Consider the following 23,368-nt stretch of genomic DNA (forward strand, 5'->3'; position numbering starts at 1 on the left):
GAAAAAGAGACTTGGCATTTTGTTTTCTCAGCCCAGATAGAGATATAAGACAAATTATTCCATCTACACATTTTTGCTTTTCACTTTATATTCTGATTTAAAAGTACAAGGAATGAGGCACGTTAGACGCTCAATAACATTAAGTTCCCAAACTGGTGGCTATTCCATTGTCCCCGGGTATGTAATATTTTACAATAAATCTCTATTATAACATTTTAAGTGATTTATCACGTTAGCAATGACGCCCAGCCATCTAATCATTGGAAACGGAACTTAAATTTAGAGTTTGTTAAAACAAAACACCGGAACCGCACCGGGGACCATATTTAGAGTAACGCCTTAATAATGCGCATGAGTCTCCGGCAGGGCTGTGAAGGTTTCCGGGAAGCCAGCCAATCATTCCCAACGGAAACTCAGTAGCGGCATTTTCAACTGGATAAACTGGCCTTAGTCCCGCCTTCTCGTTCCAGAGTTTTGTGCGAAGGAAACCGATGGGGATCGGAACCGTAGCGGTTGAGCTGCTGCTGCTACGGATATCTGACAGAAGCCTTCGGTGGTTGTCGGCCTAATGAGCGGACGGCAAAGAACGCTTTTTCAGACGTGGGGCTCAAGTATCTCCCGATCATCTGGGACTCCGGGTTGCAGCTCCGGAACTGAGCGACCTCAGAGCCCTGGCAGCTCCAAGGCGCCTTTGCCAGCAGCAGCGGAGGCTCAGCTGGAGTCGGACGATGATGTGTTGCTTGTCGCGGCGTACGAGGCTGAGCGGCAGTTGTGTCTAGAGAATGGCGGGTTCTGCACCTCCGCGGGCGCCCTGTGGATTTACCCTACCAATTGCCCAGTGCGGGACTACCAGCTGCACATTTCCCGGGCTGCTCTGTTTTGCAATACGCTGGTGTGTCTGCCTACCGGACTGGGAAAGACCTTTATTGCCGCCGTGGTCATGTACAATTTCTACCGCTGGTTCCCTTCAGGAAAGGTGGTCTTCATGGCCCCAACGAAACCCTTGGTGACACAGCAGATCGAGGCTTGCTACCAGGTGATGGGTATCCCGCAATCCCACATGGCCGAAATGACAGGTATCTTAGACTGGACTAATTTTGAAGTAAGAGCTGGGAATTCCTGACCCATGTGGAATAGTTCCCAAGCTACAACATGTGCATCTTACGCCCTCCCTCTTAAAACATTCTCTACTTGCAGCAAGCCCAAAACTGATGAATAGGGTTGCTTTATTCAATCTTCAGAGAATATCTGCAGCTTGTCATAGTATTTTGAAGCTATTATGTGCGTATACCCCATGGGTAACTGAACATGATATTTCCTGGCATTCTTCCTGAAAAAGATTTCTCAGTTGAAGAATTTGCCTCTCTTCAAATATGCCATTTTGTAGGAATTTTCTAAAGACAATTTGGTTGTAGTCCTAGATAAGTGCCAGCTTTGATATTTGGACCACACCAGAACTTTAAAATGTAGCATTCCGATGAATTGTCAAATTGTTTTTCTCTTAATGTTACCAAAGCATGTTTGCATTCTGAAAAAGCCAGACTATTTATATTTTATAGATAACAGTCTGAAGTTTAGAATGTAGAATGTCACTTTTATTTTCAGGGTCTACACAAGCTTCCACCAGGAAGGAAATATGGTGCAGTAAGAGAGTGCTTTTTCTTACACCTCAGGTCATGGTAAATGACCTTTCTAGAGGAGCTTGTCCCGCTGCTGAAATAAAGTGTTTAGTTATTGATGAAGCTCATAAAGCTCTCGGAAACTATGCTTATTGCCAGGTAATAATTTTGTTAAACGGTATTTTGTATTGTAACTGTACTGTTAAAGAGAATTTTGGCGAATAGTTACTAGTGATGGAAGTTATTGACAATATTATTATAAAAAGCCTTTACGTCTATTATCTCAGAACAGATGGTGATAAAGAATATCTGTACTTTCTGTCATCCATTCAAATCAGTGTCTTCACTGCCTTTTGCTGTTATTGTTGTTTTCTTTTTCTTTTCTTCTATTTTAAGACTAACCAGATAATTAGTGTCAGATGTAGATCATGAGAGCCTAGTCATGGTTGGGACAGTGATCTAAAATAGGGTATGAAAGGAGTTTTGAAATTAATAAAGATTGGTAGTGGATATGCGGTGTCTCTTCTTGGCGGCTAGGTAAAATAATGACATAATGTATGCCACATACCTAACACAGTGCCTTCCAGTTGAGTACTCCAGGAATATAAAATAAGATGAAGTAGTGGGATGTGGTTGCAAACATCATTCATATCTTTGCACTGAATGAAGTTGACTTTCTGTTTCCCTCTTCTCCTAAGGGGGATTTTGCCTCTTCTACTCAAGGTCCAGGTCATTAATATTTTATGCTTAATAGTTTGAAAGCCTTTGTAGGCCATAGGGGATAAAGGTGGTGGGGACTCATTAAAAAATGTTTGGCTGGGATAACACTTAAGATTTGAAAGAGATTAGAGAGAAGAAGGCTAAAGACAGAGTATCTAATGAGGGGTAGAAGGGATGTAGGATGACTTCCAGATTTCTGACTTGGAAAACTGTGAAGATTGTGAGTTCTGGGTGGAGAGCAGGTTTAGGGGGAACGTGGAAAGATGATTTAGATGTGTTGAGTTTGAGGTGTCTATGAGGAATTCAGCTGTAGATATTCATTAGGCGATACTTGATAGAAGTATGGATCTTGCTGGAGAGTTCTGAGGTAGATAGAGATACAGATTTGGAAATTATAAACATATAGATGGTAGTTAAAACTATAGTAGTTGGTGATGATAGGAGGAGATTATAGAGCAAGAATAAAAGAGGGAAAGGTAGGGAAAGTTAATTTCATTTAGGGCAAAGACATGAATTTCTCTGCCAGTTTTTGAATTTGTATAGTCATTTCTTTGGGGACTGTAAACGTTATTGTATTATATCTCTGTATTAGGGATAATTGTCATCTTTTTTAATAATTGATCTTCCTAATTATATTCAGGAAATGAATATAATATATTTTTCCACTTATTGATATCATTCCAAATTAAATTAATACATAGCATGTTAAAAATTTCCATCTGAGAGGGGCATTTAAAAAATTTTAGCTTGAGGCCAGGAGTTTGAGATCAGCTTGGGCAACATAGTGAGACCCTGTGTCTACAAAAATGAAATGAAATAATAAAACACTTAAAAATTTTTTAAAATTCAAACTGTATGGAATACGTTTTGAAGATTTAGCTGGTAATTATTTTATTTTCAAAACATTTCTAGGCATTAGATTTTTTTTTAACAGCAAGGCTTTATGAATATAATGAAACATGCATTGACTTCATTAATAACCAGACAGCCCTGACAGCTTACACCGCATTGAATATTCCAGATATACATTCCAATAGGTACACCTGCTCCATGAGGCACACACCACCATTTCCTCTTCTACAAGATGCTTGAGAATTCTTCGTGAAAAGAAGTAATGTATTTGGCTTACTTTTCATATGTAATAGTTCTGGAAGGCATATTGATACATGTGCCATATAACAACAAAATGATTTCACTCAAAACTGCCTCACAATCTGAAAGAACACTTTGAATTTTGGCTATCATACAAAACATTTTTAAAAGCATCAATCCAGTAAGCAATCTTTTTGTCTTCCTTACTGCACTCATGACTTTTCAAAAATCCTTCTATTATATGTAAGGACCATCACTTCTAGCATTAAGCTAAACTGAAAATGGTCACTAGGGATATTTTATCTTGCATCAGTTTTTAATTATAATTTTACTTGTTTCTGAAGAATAATAAGTATAATGTTATGTCTTCATATGCAATCTGTACCATATTTTTAAAAGCTCGATAAATATTTTTTCAGTATTAATCAAGATTCAGTGTTAGTCTCATTGGATTTGTTTTTGTCTTGGGTTGAAATTGGAGTGATTTTTGGATAATCTGGTTTTATTGTTTAATCCTGTGTTTAATTTGGGAACTATGGTATACTGAGAGCTGTTCCTGCAAATCAGTCTACTTGGAAGTGCATTTTCCTCTGTATTGGGAAATGAAGTGGTATATGGGAATCTGGCAAATTATCCCAGTATTAATCATACTAGAATGGGTGTCGAGTTCAAACCAGAAAGTGCAGATGGTGGTTTGGTGCTACCGAGGAAATGTTTTAGGATTTAAAAGGAAATTTAGATTTTAAAGATTACCTCAAATGACTATATTTTTTAATGAATACACTTAATTTATATATTGTGAGCTGGGCGCAGTGGCTTGAACCTGTAATTCCAGCACTTTGGAAGGCCAATGCCAGGGATCACTTGAGGCCAGGAGTTCAAGACTGGCCTGGGCAGGGTGACTCTGCCTCTACAGAAAGTGAAAAAATTAGCTTTCACTACATTACAGGTATGCTGGCGCATACCTGTAGCCCCAGCTGCTTGGGAGGCCAAGGCAGGAGGATCACTTGAGCCCCAGAGGTTGAGGCTACAGTGAGCTATGATGGATGGCATCACTGTGCTCCAGCCTGGGTGACAGAGTAAGACCCTGTTTCTAAAAAAAAAATTTTTTGTGAGCTTTCCACATAAAATGTAACTTAAAAAAAAATCTTTCCCAAAATTTCAAATATAATTTCGTATTGCTATTTAAAATTCTGTGCAGTTTTATCTGTTAAGATTTCTCTTAATCTGTCAAGTGTGCATATGGGTATAGCCGTAAGGCTGAACTGTGGCCCAGACAATGGAAACTGAACTTTCTTCCTCTTCCATTTGACCTTAAAGCAGTCCTTTTGAGTTTTTTTTTTTCTTTTGTAGAGACCAGGTTTCACCATGTTGCCCAGGCTGGTCTTGAACTCTTGAGCTAAAGTGAACCACCCACCTTGGCCTCCCAAAAGTGTTGAGATTACAAGCGTGAGCCACTGTGCCCAGCACCTTTGAGTATTTTGATTTGCCCTTTGAGTATTTTGATGTTGCAGTTTTTTCTGTAGAAGAAGCCCTACTGTGTTCTTGATCAGCATAGAGAATAAACCTAAATCATTTGCTCTTCAGATAATATAACTGGTGGTAGTTCACTCACTAGACCATCAATATACTGATGAAGGAATAATGATAAGGGACCATGTATAATAGGTTGTTTAACAGAACCACTGTTATTTTTGCATTGAACAGATGAAACTAAAGAACTTTTTTTTTCTTAAGGTTGTAAGAGAACTAGTCAAATATACAAATCACTTTAGAATCTTGGCTCTAAGTGCCACACCAGGTAGTGATATAAAGGTAAGTAAAATGTTTTTCCATTTATTACAGTTAAGAAAATAAAGCTTTTGGCCAGGTGCAGTGAGTCATACCTGTAATCCTAGTGCTTTGGGAGGTGGAGATGGGAGGATCACTTGAGGCCAGGAATTCCAGACCAGCCTGGGCAACATGGTGAGACCTATCTCTACAAAAAATTAAAAAAATAGTGAGCATGGTGGCACACATCTGTAGTCCCAGCTACTCCAGAGGCTGAGTCAGGAAGATTGCTTGAGCTTAGGAGATGGAGGCTGCAGTTAGCTATGATTGCCACTGTGCTGCAGCCTTGGTGACAGAGCAAGACCCGTAATCCCAGCACTCTGGGAGGCCAAGGTGGGCGGATCACAAGGTCAGGAGATCCAGACCATCCTGGTTAACACGGTGAAACCCGGTGTCTACCAAAAATACAAAAAATTAACCGGGCGTGGTGGTGGGCACCTGTAGTCCCAGCTACTCAGGAGGCTGAGGCAGGAGAATGGCGTGAACTCGGGAGGCGGAGCTTGCAATGAGCCAAGATCTAGCCACTGCACTCCAGCCTGGGCGACAGAGCGAGGCTCCGTCTCAAAAAAAAAAAAAAAAAAAAAGAAAGCAAAAAACAAAAAACATAAATGAATAATCCAAATAATAAGAACTTTTATATGGGGCCAGATCAGTTTTCCATTTTGGTATTTATCTAGTTTAACATGAGAACTACAACATTTCCTACAACCTGCCTAGCTTTTTTTCAGTGGTTGCAGGACTCCCCTCCCCTCCCCTCCCCTCCCCTTTCTCCTCTGTTCTCCTCCCCCTCCCCTCCCCTTCCTCCTCCCTGTTCCCTTCCCCTTACCTTACGTTCCCCTCCTTTCCTCTCCTTTCCTTTCTTTCTTTCTCTTTTTTTTTTTTTTGACGGAGTTTTGCTCTTGTTACCCAGGCTGGAGTGGAATGGCATGACCTTGGCTCACTGCAACCTCCGCCTCCTGGATTCAAGCGATTCTCTTGCCTCACCCTCCCGAGTAGCTGGGATTACAGGCGTCCATCACCACGCCTGGCTAATTTTTGTATTTTTAGTAGACACGGGGTTTCACCATGTTGGCCAGCTGGTCTCCAACTCCTGACCTCAGGTGATCTGCCGGCCTCAGCCTCCCAAAGTGCTGGGATTTCAGGCGTGAGCTACTATGCCCAGCCCAGGAGTTTCTTTAAGTTAGTAGTTTTCAGACTGCAGTGTGCATAAGAATCCCTAAAACCTGTTAAAAATACAGGATATTTTTAAATAGTAAAATGATTTTTAAAAGTTGTTACTGTTTTCAGTTTTTTAAAGTTTTGTTTGGAAATAACTTTAGATTGCCAGAAAAATTGCAAAAATAGAAGTCTTCGTTTGGTCCTCTCCCGTCTTCCCCTAATGTTAACGTATCATATAACCATAATAAAATTATCAAAGCCAGAAAATTAGCATTGCTATACCAGTAACTAATCTGCAGATCTTGTCTGAATTTTGCCAGTTTTCCCACTGATGTACTTTTCTGCTCCAGGGTTCAGTCTGTGATCTCACATTGTGTTGTCATGGCTTCTTAGTCCCTTCTAATCTGTGATGGTTCCTCTTTTTTCTTTTTTTTTTTTTTTTGAGACGAAGTCTCGCACTGTTGCCCGGGCTGGAGTGCAATGGCATGATCTCGGCTCACTGCAACCTCCACCTCCCAGGTTCAAGCTATTCTCCTGCCTCAGCCTCCTGAGTAGCTGGGATTACAGTCACCCGCCACCATGCCCGGCTAATTTTTTGTATTTTTAGTAGAGACAAGGTTTCACTATGTTGGCCAGGCTGGTCTCGAGCTCCTGACCTCGTGATCCACCCGCCCCGGCCTCCCAAAGTGCTGGGATTACAGGTGTGAGCCACTGTGCCCGGCCGCTTCCTCTTTTTTCTTGTTTTCCATGACCTTGATGCTTTTGAAGTGTAGGTGCCAGATATTTTGTAGAATATCCCTCAATTTGGGTAAGTCTGATGTTTTCTCATGATGTGGTGACGTTATGCATTTGCTAACAATAATCCAGAAGTGATGCTGTACCTTTCTCAGCATATCCTATCAGGGAATAGATGATGTTGCTTTGCCTTTTTTACTTGTGTTGTAATCTTGACTTAGTTAAGATGATGTCTTCTTGGTTTCTTCATTGTAAAATTACTGTTATTCCCTTTGTAATTAATAACTGTCTTGTGGGGGAAATACTTTGAGACTATGTAAATAATCCTGTTTTAGCATCCAGTGGTGGTTCTTGGCTTGCAACAATTATTGTTGTGGTATTTGCCTAATCATTCTTTCTCTCTTTTATATGCATTAATTTGAATTCTTCTGCAATAAAGATTTTTTTTCCTTCTGTGGGCCACAGTCCAATACTATTTTATCAATTTTATTAAGATTGTTCCAGCTTTGTCTGTTAGGAGCTCCTTCAAGCTCCTGTGTCCTTTAGACATGCACTTTTTTTTTTTTTTTTTAAACAGGGTCTCACTGAGTCCTCCAGGCTGGAGGGCAGTGCACAATAATACTCACTGCAGCTAAATTTCCCAGGCTCAGGTGGTTCTCCCACGTCAGCCTCCTGAGGAGCTGGGACTACAGGTGCCTGCCACCACACCCAGCAAATTTTTGTATCTTTTGTAGAGACAGGGTCTCCCATTGTTGCCCAGGCTGGTCTAGAACTACTGGTCTCAAACTCCTGGGCTCAAGTGATCCACCTGTCTCAGCCTCTCAAAGTGCTGGGATTATTGGCATGAGCCACCATACCTTGCCACTCTTTCTTTTGATGCTTCTGTAACTTTCTGACATCATAAGATACATTATGCTCCTTTAGTATTTTTTCGGCCCAGCCATGGAATCAACAGTATGTCTGGGAAATTCTGGTTTCCTTTATTGAAGAATGGTAAAAATGCAGATTTTGAGACCTGTCCTATAATATTCTGATTTTAGTAGCTCTGAACGGTCTTCCATATTGAGTAAGGATTTTTTTTTTTTTTTTTTTTTGAGACAGAGTCTCGCTTTGTCACCCAGGCTGGAGTGCAGTGGCGCGATCTCGGCTCACTGCAACCTCTGCCTCCCGGGTTCAAGCCATTCTCCTGCCTCAGCCTCCTAAGCAGCTGGGATTACAGGTGCCCACCACCATGCTCAGCTAATTTTTGTATTTTTAGTGGAGACGGGGTTTCACCATGTTGGTCAGGCTGGTCTCGAACCCCTGACCTCGTGATCTACCCACCTCAGCCTCCCAAAGTGCTGGGATTACAGGCGTGAGCCACCACGCCCGGCTTGAGTAAGGATTTTATTGGATACATTCTGTGGCAGCCTTTTAAAACTTTTTTTTTTTATTTTTATGGGTACATAGTAGGTATATATATTTATGGTATATATGAGATATTTTGATACAGGCATGCAGTGCATAATAATCACATCAGGCTAATGGGGTATCCATCACCTTAAGCATTTATTCTTTTTGTTACAATCCAGTTATACTCTTTTAGTTATTTTAAAATGTAAACTTATTACTGACTATAGTCACCCTATTATGCTATCAAATATTAGATCTTATTTATTCTATTTTTTTGTACCCATTAATGTAGTGTCCCCTCCACCCCCCTCGCCCACTACCCTTCCCAGCCTCTGTAATCATCCTTCTACTCTCTATCTCTATGAGTTCAATTACTTTAATTTTTAGCTCCCACTAAAAAGTTAGAACGTGTGAAGTTTGTCAGCAAGTTCCTCCAGGCCCCGGGCAAGTCCAGAGATGCCATCTAGGAGCCAGAAACTAGAGTCAGAAACCTTAGAAATCTACCTTGTGCTCTATACTACTGCAGCTAAGCTTGCACTCAAAGCACAAGATGAAGTCCTTCTCACTCTTTCTTTCCACAGGCAGAGGAGCCTCTCCCCATGGTCACCACTACCATAGGCCCATGAGGTGTACTGCCAGTCTACTGCTGATTTTCATTTAAGGCCCAAGGACTCTTCAGTCAGCTTGTGCTGAATGCTGCCAGGCCTGGGACTCACCCTTCAGAGAAGTGGGTTCCCCTCTGGCCTGGGACAGTTTCAGAAATGCTGTTCAAGAGTCAAGGCCTGGAATCAGGTCCCCAAGAGCCCATTTGTTGCCCTTCCCCACTGTGGCTGAGCTGGTACCTGAGGTGTAAGACAAAGTCTCCTTTACTTCTGCTTTTCTCAAGCAGAAGTTTCTCATCATAGCCATCATTGCTAGAGATGTGCTGGGTTTCACTGGAAGCCAGCATGTCTAAGAGTCTCACCCAAGGCCCATGACATATTACCTGGGTATTGCTGATGGTTATTTAGGGCCCAAGGGCTCTTTAGTCAGCAGGTAATGAATCTTGCCAGGACTGTGTTCTTCCCTTCAAGGTAGCGGGTTTCCTTCTGGCCCAGGGTACGTCTAGAAAAGTTGTCAGGGAGCTAGGGTCAGGAACGGAGACCTCATGACTCTGCCCTGTCCTGTTGTGGCTGAGCTGATATCCAGGATGCAAGACAAAGTCCTCTTTACTCTTCCCTCTTTTTTCCTCAAGCAGAAGGAAGGAGTCACTTTCGTTTATGTGAGCTGCCCAGACTGGGGTTGAATGAAGGGTGGTGCAATCACTCCTTTAACTGTCCCACCTGGTGTCTCACTAGGTCACGTGCCCCCCATGTTCATCGTCTCCAGAGCATTTGCAGGAACTTAAGTTCCAACCACTAGGATGGGGAATTCCCTTCTAGCTAGGGCTGGTCTAAATTCTCCTTCTGTGGTGGCATTGACTGAGTTCCACCTGGTTTTGCTTTTCACTGTGACAGAGCAACACTTAGTTCAATGCACAGTCTCCCAGAAACTGCACTCTCCTTCCCCCAGGTTCTTAGATTCTTTCTCCACACCACAGGGCCTCTGGGGGATGAGGGAGGGGTGGTGTCCATGATTCAAGATTGTGTTTCCTGGCTGAGCGTGGTGGCTCACACCTGTAATCCCAGCACTTTGGGAGGCCAAGGCAGGCGGATCAGGAGGTCAGGAGATCGAGACCACACTGGCTAACACAGTGAAACCCCGTCTCTACTAAAAAATACAAAAAAATGGCCGGGCGCGGTGGCTCACGCCTGTAATCCCAGCACTTTGGGAGGCCGAGGCGGGCGGATCACGAGGTCAGGAGATCGAGACCATCCCGGCTAAAACGGTGAAACCCCGTCTCTACTAAAAATACAAAAAATTAGCCGGGCGTAGTGGCGGGCGCCTGTAGTCCCAGCTACTTGGGAGGCTGAGGCAGGAGAATGGCGTGAACCCGGGAGGCGGAGCTTGCAGTGAGCCGAGATCCCGCCACTGCACTCCAGCCTGGGCCACAGAGCGAGACTCCGTCTCAAAAAAAAAAAAAGAAAAAAAAAATACAAAATATTAGCCGGGCGTGGTGGTGGGCACCTGTAGTCCCAGCTACTCGGGAGGCTGAGGCAGGAGAATGGCGTGAACCCGGGAGGCAGAGCTTGCAGTGAGCCGAGATCATGGCATGGCACTCCAGCCTGGGTGACAGAGTGAGACTCCGTCTGAAAAAAAAAAAAAAAAAAAGGATTGTGTTTCCTACCTCAAAGTGCCTCTTTTAGCAATATGAAGTGAATACCAGGTACTGTGATTGCTCACTTGATTTTTGGTTCTTATGAAGGTGCTTTTTTTGTGTAGATAGTTGTCAAATTTGATGTTCTGTGTGGGCGATTATCTGTATTTCCATCTTGCTCCATGCTTCCAATGATAGCTTTTAACTCTTGCAAGCTGCAAGACTTTTTTCTTCTATCCTTTTTTTTGATGAGCTTAGAAATTCTATCCTATCTCTGGTTTTCTCCCTGACCTCGTTTAAACATTCATGTTTTTCAGTCAGCTTAAAAATGTCATCCCCCTTTGGGAGGCCGAGGCGGGTGGATCACGAAGTCAGGATATCGAAACCATCCTGGCCAACATGGTGAAACCCCGTCTCTACTAAAAAAAATACAAAAAATTAGCCGGGCATGGTGGTGGGCACCTGTAGTCCCAGCTACTCGGGAGGCTGAGGCGCAAGAATGGCGTGAACCTGGGAGGCGGAGCTTGCAGTGAGCCGAGATCGCGCCACTGCATTCCAGCCTGGGCGACAGAGCAAGACTCTGTCTCAAAAAAAAAAAAAAAAAAAAAAAAAAGTCATCCCTTCAGAAAGGTCTATTCTAACTAAGCTATCTTGTCAGTGTTCCTTATTTTGTTATTTTCTTCTTAACATTTGTGATAATTGGTCATTCTTTTGCGTATTGATTATTTTGGTCTTTCAGCGCCAGTAAAATATCAGCTACATGAATGTAGGGATTATGCCGATTTTGGTCGTTTCTCTGTCATTAACTCAATACCTGGCATGTGGGAGTTACTCATGTATTTCTTTCATGAATGAACTATTAAAAGCAATAAGCTTAATTTTATAAAATGGTCACAAATGTATTCTAGATTTTGAATACGTATAGGCCGCCAGTGATTATGGTGTGCCGTATTGGGCACTGCGCCAGGTATTGGGAATACCAAGATATGATTCTTGCCCCAGGCTGTTCCCCGCCCCCCCCAAAACCAAGCCCTCAAAGCTTTCTTTTTTTCTTTTCTTTTTCTTTCTTTCTTTTTTTTTTGGAGACAGGGTCTTGCCCTGTCACCCAGGCTGGAATACAGTCGCAACTGTAGTTCACTCACTGCAGCCTAGAACTCCTGTGTTCAAGTGATACTTCAGCAGGTGCTTGCCACTTCGCCAGCAATTGTCATTTTTTTTGTAGATATGGGGTCTCACTATGTTGCCCAGGGTGGTTTCAAATTCCTGGCTTCAAGCAGTCTTCCCAACTTGGCCTCCCACAGCCCTGGGATTACACCCTTAGGCGTGAGCTGCTGCCCGGCCTAAACCCACAAGGCTTTCTATTTTTGTTTGGACACCATGGCTCACACCTTTAATCCCAGCACTTTAGGAGGCCAAGGTGGGCGGATCACAGAAGTCAGGAGTTAGAGACCAGTTAGGCCAACATGGTGAAACCCCATCTGTACCCAAAATACAAAAATTAGCTGGGCATGGTGACATATGCCTGTAGTCCCAGCTATTCAAGAGGCTGAGGCAGGAGAATCGCTTGAACCCGGGAGTCAGAGGTTGCAATAACCTGAGATAGATTGTGCCATTGCACTGCAGCCTGGGCGACAGAGGGAGGTTCCAAACCGCCCCCCCCCCAAAAAAAAAGCCGGGCGTGATGCCTCACACCTGTAATCCCAGCACTTTGGGAGGCCAAGGTGGGCGAATCATGAGGTCAGGAGTTCGAGACCAGCCTGGCCAACATGGTGAAACCTCATCTCTACTGAAAATACAAAAAATTAGCTGGGTGTAGTGGCAGGCGCCTGTAATCCCAGCTACTGGGGAGGCTGAGGCAGGAGAATCGTTTGAACCTGGGAGGCGGAGGTTGCAGTTAGCCGATATCGTGCCACTGTGCTCCAGCCCGGGTGACAGAACGAGGCACCGTCTCAAAAACACACACACACACACACACACACACACACACACAAAACAACTTTTAATTTTTACATACTCTCAGGATCCTCTCTTTTTTTTTTCTTTTTAATTGTTAATCGCACTGTCAGTACCATAGTCTCCTGCTACAGAATACAACAGATTATATGTTTTTTCTCCAGTTTCCTAATTTTACAATGAAGTCTCTTTATAAGCTTTGGGTACATGAAATTTAGTCCTGGAAATATATTCACATCATATATGTTGATTTAAATGGAAAATATTCTACTAATTTATCAATAATTGATTGAGTATTGCTAATCTGAAATTTTTGTCTGAGTCTTTATAAAGACTCTATTTGTAAAGTACCAAACTACATTTGAGGAACTTTTTGGACATTTACAAATATTCTTATTTCTCGGATGCTTGGCTTGAAGGTCTGTGTGGGGAAAAGATGTTTCGGAAGCACTTTTCACCTGTTGTGCTACTTCTGATGTACTTTTTTTATAGGCTTATCTTCTTTCTTTTTTGTTACTTAATGATATAAATTTCTGGTGCTTCTTTCAAAATTTTACTGCTATTTTATTTCTGTTAGTGACTTAAACTAAAAAATTTTAACATGTAGTTTATAATCATACTTAATTGATTTCATATAGGCTGTGCAACAAGTTATTACTAACCTGCTAATTGGGCAGATAGAGCTTCGTTCTGAAGATTCTCCAGATATTTTGACATATTCTCATGAAAGAAAAGTTGAAAAGCTTATTGTTCCGCTTGGTGAAGAACTTGCAGCCATCCAAAAGACCTATATCCAGGTAAACCATTTTTATGACATTTAGGGATTTCATAAATAAACTGGTAATTGAATTATTTCAGCTAACAGGATTTGGATGTGATAATATAGTTATCTTATTTTTATATAATTGATATGTTGAAAAAATTCTTTGAAGTTAAAATTTTTGGAATGAGCACTGTGTTTTGTATGTACTAGCAAACTGTTATTGAAAGGGAAAATACAAAAGATGGGCCATTTGTAAAGCAAATAATAGCCTTACATGGTTTTGTATTTTTTTAAGTAAACCTTATAACTGGAATATAGAACATGCACACACACACACACACACACACAAACAGCAAAAGTAGACAAAGCATAAGTGTATTGCTCAGTGAATTTTCACAAATTGCACACACCCGTAACATGAACACGTACTGAGATTCAGCCAGAAGTTTCTTTGTTTTCTTTTTGTTGTTTTTTGTTCAGCTCACTGCAGCTTCCACCTCCCTGGTTCAAGCAGTTCTCCTTAGCCTCCCAAGTAGCTGGGATTACAGGCACATGCTACCACATCTGGCTAATTTTTATATTTTTGAATAGAGACGAGGTTTCACCTTGTTGGCCAAGCTGGTCTTGAACTCCTGACCTCAAGTGATTTTCCTGCCCCGACCTCCCAAAGTGCTGGGATTACAGGTGTAAGCCACCATGCGCCCGGCCCCCAGAAGTTTCTTTGTATTGAAATATATTTTCACTGTTGTCCTCCCTGATCTTTATGCAGCAGTGCTTTTCATCTGGAAATTACTTCACCTACCTGGCAACATTTGGCAATGACTTGACACATTTTTGGTTCTTACAACAACAACAACAACAACAAAAAGGCAGGAGAGAAGGGGGAGGTAACAGGTGAAATGTGGAGTTATTATTGGCATCTAGTATATGGAGGCCAGGAATCAGCTAAACATCCTACAATGGATAGGACAGCAACCCCACAACAAAGAATTATCTGGCTCAAATGTCAATATTATAGCTGTTAAGGACCTGCTTAGACAATTGTCATTTTCACTGGGAGAAATTTGTGGTAACACATTGTTTTTCTGTAGTTCATAATTAGTGTCATGGTTGAACAACATGGTTTCACATTTTCATTGCCATGGATTAAAGATGGTTACAGAAATAGATAACCAAAAAGTTATCTGTCACTTAATCTATAGTAAGCCTTTCTTAAAGAGACATTTTGTAGTAATACAGCTTTTTTGTTTTTAAATTGTTTGTAACAAAATTCTAAGCATTATTGAGTTAAGATATGGCAAAGTCTTTTTGTAATTGTCTCTTTGATACTAGTGCATTTTTAATTGAAAATCATTCCATTTATAACAATGTAAATATGATAATTCTTATAATCATATACAAATGTAATTTAATTTTGTTAGTATTTTTAGAGTGCCTTATTAGGCAGTATGATCAGCAAAGTTGGAAGGGAGGAAAAAAAATGTATTAAACTAGCCATAATTTAGAAAATACAAATTAGGCAAAAATTTAAACACTTACATACTGCGGTAGTAGGTCTTCATCTATAGGTCTCCTTTTGTGCCATTAAGCTCATTTCCGCCTCAGGACTTTTTGTTTGCTGTCTCCTCTCTCTGGAATCCTTTGTCCTTAGAACCTCACATGGTAGACATACCTTATCATTCACATGTGAACTCAAATGTTCTCTTCTCAAAGAGAGTCTTTGTTCACCTTATTTAATAATGATCCCTTTCCTCTCAAAGACTCTACAGCATTATTGTGTTTTAGATTCTTAAATGCATTTGTTATAATGAAAATGATCTACTTTCTTTGTTCGCTTCTTTATTCTTCGGTTCCCTCCATTGGAATGTAAACTATATGAGAGCAGTGACAAATAAAGTCTTAGCCACACTATCCCCAGCATTTAGAACAGTGCCTGTTACATAGTAGATGGTTAATAAATATTTGTTGAAAAAAATGCATCAGTGAGTAAAATTAAATATATTCAGGACATTTCAATTTATTCAGTACTTTACAAACTACTCTACAAATATCTGCTGAGGACCTAAGTGCCAAACTGGTCTAGATACTGAGGATGTAACAGTGCAGAAATCAAAGGTCTTCGTTCATGGTACTTACACTTAGATTATAGTGTGTGTAGGTTGAGAGAGAGAGGAGTTAAGAAATAAACAGATAAACGAATGTGTTGTTAAATTACAGTTGTATATAATAATTGCTTATGTTGATTTTTATATGGATATTATTTGGGGATAGATGTCAAGTAGTTTTAAATGTTATCATTGCTGAGTTTACTTAAACATTCATTGTAAGACAAACTTTATTAAATATATAATTCCTATTTTAATATGTGAGAAAATGATTGTACTTGAAAAAGGACTTTAGAGCAAGCTTAAACTAGATTGCTTTTAAATTTGCAGATTTTGGAATCATTTGCTCGTTCTTTGATTCAGAGGAATGTTTTGATGAGAAGGGATATCCCAAATCTAACAAAATATCAGATAATTCTGGCAAGAGATCAGTTTAGGAAAAACCCATCTCCGAATATTGTGGTAGGTATTTTTAAATAAATTTTGATGACAGATTAAATTTTCACTGAAAGCCAGGATAAAACATAGGTAATGATATTTTGGGTACCTATTAGCTCATCAATAATTGAAAAATGAGGCCGAACACAGTGGCTGATGCCTGTAATCCTAACAGTTTGGGAGGCCAAGGTGGGAGGATCACTTGAGCCCTGGAGTTCAGGACCAGCCTGGGCAACATAGTGAGGCCCTGTCTCTGCAAATGTAAAAGAAATAGCCAAGTGTGGTGGTATGTACCTACTCAGGAGCCTGAGGCAGGGTAGGATTGCTTGAGCCTGGGTGGTCGAGGCTGCAGTGAGCTGTGATTGCAGCATTGCATTCTAGCCTAGGTGACAGAGTTAGACCTGTCTTAAAAAAAAAAAAAAAAAAAAAATCAGAAATGTTTATATAGTTTATAAAAGCATGAGAAAAATCTGCAAGAATACAATGTAATGATTTGAATTAGGATAAATTTTACCTTTTAACTTTTTCTTTTTTTTTTTTTTGAGACAGAATTTCGCTCTATTGCCCAAGCCGGTGTGCAGTGGTGTGACCTTGGCTCACTGTAACCTCTGCCTCTCAGGTTCAAGCAAGTCTTGTGCCTCAGCCTCCCTAGTAGCTGGGACTACAGGCACGCATCACCACGCCTGGCTAATTTTTGTATTTTTTAGTAGAGAGAGGGTTTCATCATGTTGGCCGGGCTGGTCTCGACCTCCTGACCTCAGGTGATCTGCCTGTCTCGGCCTCCCAGAGTGTAATCCCAAAGATTACAGATGTGAGCCACAGTGCCCAACCTTTCTTTTTAACTTTTAAGAAGAATTTGTCTTTTAGTCTATTTATTTTGTAAAGTCTCAAAGCCATGAGAAGGTAGATTGTAACTGAATTTTAGACACAGAACATTTATTCTTACTCTCAATACCAGAGTTTGAAGGAAGCATCACAGCAAGCTTCTTATTTCTAACCTGCATTGGAAAAAAATAAATGGATAAAAAAATATCTATCAAACTAGGTCCAAAGTCAGAGAAGACACTCATAGACACAAAAAAGGGCACCGAGTCGATCTTTGAACTGATAGGGAATGCCTGTGCAAAAGAACAGAGGCAATTGAATTAAAGCATGTGGGAGACAGTGAGCAGACCAATTTGGCTGAGGATTTGGAAACTGGATATGATAATATAGGTTGTACTACATGAGAGTAGCTTTAAGTATTATACCACGAAACCGGATATGATAATATAGGTTGTGACTACATGAGAGTAACTTTAACTATTATACCACGAAATGTGGTCTTTATCATATAGTATCTGGGGAAGCACTAAAGGAGTCTTTTCTGCAAAATTATAGTATATTATTATTTAAAACTTTAAAAAGATGTTTTGATTTCTGCTAGGAAATAGTAAATCTAAACCTGTTGAACTAGATCTTAACTGGAACTGGTGAGAGGTAATTAGGGTACCATTTTAGGGCATTTGTTAGTATCCTGGAATATTTAAAATCACTAACATTGATGTTAAGTGCTACTAAAAATGTTAGAAAACAGTAGTCTTCATCTCAAAGGAAAATAATTAGAATATGTTCTCCATGCTCTCCTTAAAAACTATCTTATCAGATAGATACACATACCATGTACTTCCATAAAGGAATGTGTCCTTCATTTTTCCATGAGAGTAGTGGTTGAAAGCACAAGGCCTCTTAGCCAAAATTCCTGGGTCTAAATAGTGGTTCTGCTACTTAACATTTGTATGAGCTTCCTCATCTATAAAATGAGCATAACATAGCTACCTGCTAGATACTAAGATTAAGTGAATTGTGCAAGTAATGTGCTTAGAATAGTTTCTGGGGCTCAGTGTCAGATATTTTCACAGGACGTATACTTGGTATTAAAGGTTGGCATTAAAACAGTCTGATTAAATATTTGTACTTTTGCCAGTAACATTCATGAGGATAGGCCATATCTAACTTATTTCCCATTTCCATTGTATCTAGCTCAGTGCTTGACAGGTAGTAGATGCTTACTATATAGTTTTGAAAGAACAAATATATCTATATACTGCCAATTAATTTACCTGTAAAGAAAAACAATATAATTTTTTTTTCCTTTACTTATTATTTTTAAAATGTAAGTTTCCTGTTTAATTAAAGAAAAAGAAATAAAGGGGCAGATTTTACATACAAAATACATTGGTACCTTTCCATAGCAACATCCTATAAGATGACATTTAATAACCAATCGGTTATAGCAGTGTAGAAGGGAATGATGATTATGATCATTTGGATTATATTATAAATGTTACACTGACTATGGCCTGACAACTTGGGCATGGAGCATGTATGTTCATTTATTTCTCTGGTTAAATTTGACATATGCTGTTTTTCTAGGGAATACAACAAGGCATAATCGAGGGAGAGTTTGCTATTTGTATTAGTTTATATCATGGTTATGAATTATTGCAGCAAATGGGAATGAGATCATTATATTTCTTCCTTTGTGGAATTATGGATGGAACTAAAGGTAAATTATATCAAATTATTTAAAGAAATAATGACATGTATTATTTTGGCTAAAGACATATTGAAGGGCTGGGCACAGTGGCTCATTTCTGTAATCCCAGCACTTTGGGAAGCCGAGGTGGGTGGATCACTTGAGGTCAGGAGTTCAAGACCAGCCTGGCCAACATGGTGAAACCCTGTCTCTAATAAAAATACAAAAATTAGCTGGGTATGATGGTGCACGCCTGTAATCCCAGCTACTCAGGAGACTGAGGCGGGAGAATCGCTTGAACCCGAGAGGCAGAGGTTGCCTTGAGTCAAGATCATGCTGCTGCACTTCAGCCTGGGCAACAGAGTGAGACTGTCTTAAAAAAAAAAAAAAAAAAGACATATTAAAGAGTTTGGATTACTTAAAAATGATTTATTTTAAAAAGCATTGGAATAATTAACAAATGGCCATGTTTCTTTGTTTTTAATAAATTCCTGGAGAAAAGGAAACCATTCATTAATACATATATGAATGTAGAACTGCAAAAAGTTTCTGGTTTTCATGTTTACACTTGAAAAACTTACATTCATTGCTAAAGTTTAATTTCTTTTTAATAAATAATACATTTTATCAGTTTTATTATTATTTATTTGAAAACCTTTTCTTAATTTCTGAAGGGATGACACGGTCAAAAAATGAACTTGGCCGAAATGAAGACTTCATGAAACTCTATAATCATCTAGAGTGTATGTTTGCACGTACACGTAGTACTTCAGCAAATGGTATTTCTGCTATCCAACAAGGTCTGGTTTTTCTTTTAAAATTATGTATTGTGTTGTGTTTCTTAATCACAGTTAATTTTGAAATTTTGCTCCTTTGATGCAAATGTCTACAATTATTTATATTTTGTAGCAACAGATCTGTTAAATGTGTAAATATTTCATTTTTTAAGATTAATATATATTCAAATTTAAAGTTTATATGCTTTAAACAATGTTTAAACTTCTTCAAACAAGTTTACAAACTTTAAACATATAACAGATGTTGGTAATTGTTAGTGGTAGTAAAAATTCTCAGAACTATCAAAACCTGATTTATAGTTAGATATGTATTTTTGCTTTCTTTGCTACTGATTCCTCTTTAGGTTCTCTCAGAATGAAATTTTTATGAAAGTTCAAAGTTCATTTTACAGTAAGACTTACGTGCTACCTAGATGTTACCTCTGGTTTAAGTTTTTTAAAAATTAAAAAAAAATCCAACATATGCATTGGAAAAGATAACTTTCATATACATTAGTGTAATTGAATATGGAAAAAAACAGAAAAAAATTTTGATATTTTTGTTTTGTTCCAGGAGATAAAAATAAAAAATTTGTTTATAGTCATCCAAAGTTAAAGAAATTAGAAGAAGTTGTAATTGAACACTTCAAGTCATGGAATGGTAGGTCATATTTAGTAGCTTTAAGGCAAGACAAAGTTATTGCAAGAGGTAAAACTTTACTTATGGCTGGGTGCAGTGGTTCACACCTGTAATCCCAGCACTTTGGGAGGCCGAGGATCACGGGAGGTCAGGAGTTCAAGACCAGCCTGACCAACATGGTAAAACCCCGTCTCTACTAAAAATGCAAAAATTAGCCAGGCATGGTGGCACATGCTTGTAATCCCAGCTACTTGGGAGGCTGAGGTAGGAGAATCGCTTGAACCTGGGAGGTGAAGGTTGCAGTGAGCCGAGATTGTGCCATTGCACTCCAGCCTGGGCTATAAGAGCAAAACTTGAAATAAATAATCTCGAAAATAAAACAAACAAAGAAAAACCTTCAACCTATTAGTTTATTCTAACATTTCTTATGGAGAAGGTGGGCTTTTAATTAACTCTGGATAATGAATACTAAAAAGCTGTGAGAAATTTTGGAAGGGCTAGGGCAAGGGTGGTGGTGGGAATGTTAAGAATAAGGTACTATATAAGTTAGCATGGGGTAATATAAGGGAAGTGGAGAGTAAAACAATATATAGTACCAGTAAAAGAGTAAAGTAGATTAGGAGAGAGAGAGTTATAGAGGAGTGCTGTTTTATATAGCATGGTTATAGAAGACTTCTCTGTAGAGGGATATTTAAAGTGATGATGGAGATAAGGGAGGAAGCCTTGTGAGTTTTGGAGGCTGGGGGAGAGATAATTCCAAGCAGTAAAAATAGCAGATTCAAAGGCCTTGAGGTGGCAGTAGGGTGCTTGGTGTGATTAAACAGACCAGTGTGGTTAGATTGAGGCTACAAGTATGACTGAGCCTACAAGTGGTATAGATGAGAGGTATGCAGATAATATCAGACTTTAGTTTTTAATTTCTGAATATTTGTGCTTTGCAAAACCAAACAGAGGTATTTGTAGCAGTGGAATGACATGACATTTTAAGGATCACTCTGGTAGTTTTGTGGAGCATAGACATTGATAACCTAGAAAAGTATTACGATAGTCTTGGATGATGACACATAATAGTGGTGTTCATCAAGGCAATAGTGGTCAAGGTGCTGGGAGATAGATTCTAGATATATGTTCAAATTGGAGCCAACTTATTTATTGTATTTGTTGATGGATTAGACGTATGGTATAAGAAAAAGGGAATTGGCCAGGTGCAGTGGCTCACACCTGTAATCCCAGCACTGTGAGAGGCCGAGGTGGGCAGATCACGAGGTCAAGAAATCAAAACCATCCTGGCCAACATGGTGAAACCCCGTCTCTACTAAAAATACAAAAATTAGCTGAGTGTGGTGGTATGTGCCTGTAGTCTCAGCTACTCGGGAGGCTGAGGCAGGAGAATCTCTTGAACCTGGGAGACGGAGGTTGCGGTAAGCCAAGATTGCGCCACTGCACTGCAGCCTGGCAAAAGAGTGAGACTCTGTCTCAAAAAAAAAAAAAAAAAAAAAAGGAAAAAAGGAATCATATGGCTGGGTATATACATTTATGTGTACATGTTTGCAAATGATTACATGAGCAAAGTGAAAAATGAAGAATAGAGATAAGTATGTGAGGTAATATGTATGTTAATTAGCTTGATTTAGCCATTTCACAATGTATATAGACATCTCAAAACATATTGTACAACATAAATATATACAACTTTTATTTGTCAATTAAAAAAAAGAATAACAAAAGAAAGAGCAAACATGTTAAGATGTTTTTGAGACACCTAAGTGTCAAGTAGGCATTAGATAACCAAATCTGGATCTCAGAAGAATGATTGCTGCTGTTTTTACATATTTACATATATGTGAATACATTTTGGAGTTATCAGCATAAAGGTAATATTTAAAGTTTCAGGAATAGATGTGATTATCAGGACAACAGTTTAGAGATATACAGAGGAGGGTCCAGAATGGAGTCCTGAAGAATATCAACAGTTAAGAGTTTGGAGGAAAAAAAGCTTGGGGAGGAAACTGGACAAGTAAAATGTTAGAGAAGCTGAAGAAAGAGACTATTTCAGAAGGAAAGAGGAAAGTGTGTTAAACTAAAAAGTGTCGATTGAACTTGGCAGTATGGAAGTTATTGATGATTTTGCTGAAAGGAGCTTTAGTGGAATGAGGGTAAAAAGGCAGGCTGTGACAGATTGAAGGAGATACAGGTTTTGTGATGAAAGTAGCAATTCATTCAGGAGCTGGTCACATACAGAGACTTGATGCTTGATGCAATGATGATTCAAAAGAAGTTTGTTTAGAATAATTTTACTTGGAACAGCTGCTTCTTCAAGTCCTACGTTTTGTTTTTGTATTGTAAATTAACTTTATATTTAATAAGTCATTTATTCCTTAGAGGAGTTGTGAAGATTAAATGAGTTAACATACATAAAATGCGTAGTGCGGTCCTTGGAACACATATGATGATTAAGATAATAAAAATCAGTAGAGGTTGGATGTCGTGGCTCATGCCTGTAATCCCAGCACTTTGGGAGGCTGAGGTGGGCAGATCTCTTCAGCCCAGGAGTTCGAGACCAGCCTTGGCAACATGGCAAAACCCCGTCTCTACAAAAAAATTTTAAAATGTAGCTGGGCATGGTGGCATGAGCCTGTAGTCCCAGCTACTCAGAGCATGAGGTGGGAGGATCACCTGAGCCCAAGAGGTCGAAGCTGTAGTGAGCCATGATGGTGCCACTGCATTCCAGCCTAGGTGACCAAACATGACCCTGTCTCAAAAATAAAAACAAACAACCAAAAACCCCACACAGTATGCAATAATTAGCCAATTACTATATGTGCAAAACTATATACTGTTTCATTTATACATCAATCCATATTAGATATGAAGAAACTAAAGCTTAAAGAGTTTAAATAACTACCATGATCACCAATCACCCAGAGAATTAAGTGCCCAGCCACAAAGATCATGTTCTTATTAGTGCATTCTACTGCCCGCCACCCCCCTACCTCACCCGCCCCCCAGCACAGACATATCGGGAGCAGCTTTGGAATTCACTGTAGGGTATGTTCTGCAGTTGTCTTTGGAGAATTTGAAAGTATAGTAGATTTGAGGACAGAATGCATGGCTTGGATTAAGACATTTCCTTTAGTGAACAGAAAGGAAAGGGAAGACTTATGAAATTAGGGGGAGCTGCATAGTTCTGTGCTTCTGGCCATCTTAGAAGGTAAAGGGAAATGATAGCCATTATGCCTGAGTTGAAGGACTAGTCAAAAGTGATTCAGATAATTCATATTTGATTTGTTTAGGATTTTATTTTATGACAGCCAATGGTAATAAGCTAAGATTATTAAAATTAATAGAGAATATAGTTTAAAAAATTTCAAGATGTTTGAAATTATTTATTTA

General features: G+C 39.6%; 1 protein-coding gene across 10 annotated transcripts in view, besides 3 other annotated features; it reads left to right on the forward strand.

Moving 5' to 3' along the window:
- The window catches only part of FANCM (FA complementation group M), a 64,961-nt gene continuing 42,059 nt past the window's right edge, over nucleotides 467–23,368 (forward strand). For 7 of the 10 annotated variants that reach the window (XM_011537034.3, XM_017021523.2, NM_020937.4 and 4 more), the window contains exons 1-8: nucleotides 467–1,076; nucleotides 1,606–1,778; nucleotides 5,169–5,246; nucleotides 13,374–13,532; nucleotides 15,934–16,065; nucleotides 18,457–18,589; nucleotides 19,234–19,359; nucleotides 19,910–19,996. In XM_011537034.3, coding sequence (XP_011535336.1) covers nucleotides 569–1,076; nucleotides 1,606–1,778; nucleotides 5,169–5,246; nucleotides 13,374–13,532; nucleotides 15,934–16,065; nucleotides 18,457–18,589; nucleotides 19,234–19,359; nucleotides 19,910–19,996 — 1,396 coding nt within the window. In that variant the 5' untranslated portion in view covers nucleotides 467–568. Of the gene's footprint in view, nucleotides 1,077–1,605; nucleotides 1,779–5,168; nucleotides 5,247–13,373; nucleotides 13,533–15,933; nucleotides 16,066–18,456; nucleotides 18,590–19,233; nucleotides 19,360–19,909; nucleotides 19,997–23,368 lie in introns of those variants that run through there. The other 3 variants (XM_011537035.4, NM_001308133.2, XM_047431634.1) reach the window with 2 other exon arrangements.
- Nucleotides 621–670: an enhancer, noted in NCBI's record as "active region_8299". NCBI's record gives its function as "activates an Ori minimal core promoter by ATAC-STARR-seq in GM12878 lymphoblastoid cells {active_cell/tissue: GM12878}" and the evidence as "EXISTENCE:reporter gene assay evidence [ECO:0000049][PMID:35858748]".
- Nucleotides 9,391–9,450: an enhancer, noted in NCBI's record as "active region_8300". NCBI's record gives its function as "activates an Ori minimal core promoter by ATAC-STARR-seq in GM12878 lymphoblastoid cells {active_cell/tissue: GM12878}" and the evidence as "EXISTENCE:reporter gene assay evidence [ECO:0000049][PMID:35858748]".
- Nucleotides 9,541–9,650: an enhancer, noted in NCBI's record as "active region_8301". NCBI's record gives its function as "activates an Ori minimal core promoter by ATAC-STARR-seq in GM12878 lymphoblastoid cells {active_cell/tissue: GM12878}" and the evidence as "EXISTENCE:reporter gene assay evidence [ECO:0000049][PMID:35858748]".

The sequence above is a fragment of the Homo sapiens genome, chromosome 14, assembly GCF_000001405.40.
Source record: "Homo sapiens chromosome 14, GRCh38.p14 Primary Assembly".
Taxonomy (NCBI): domain Eukaryota; kingdom Metazoa; phylum Chordata; class Mammalia; order Primates; family Hominidae; genus Homo; species Homo sapiens.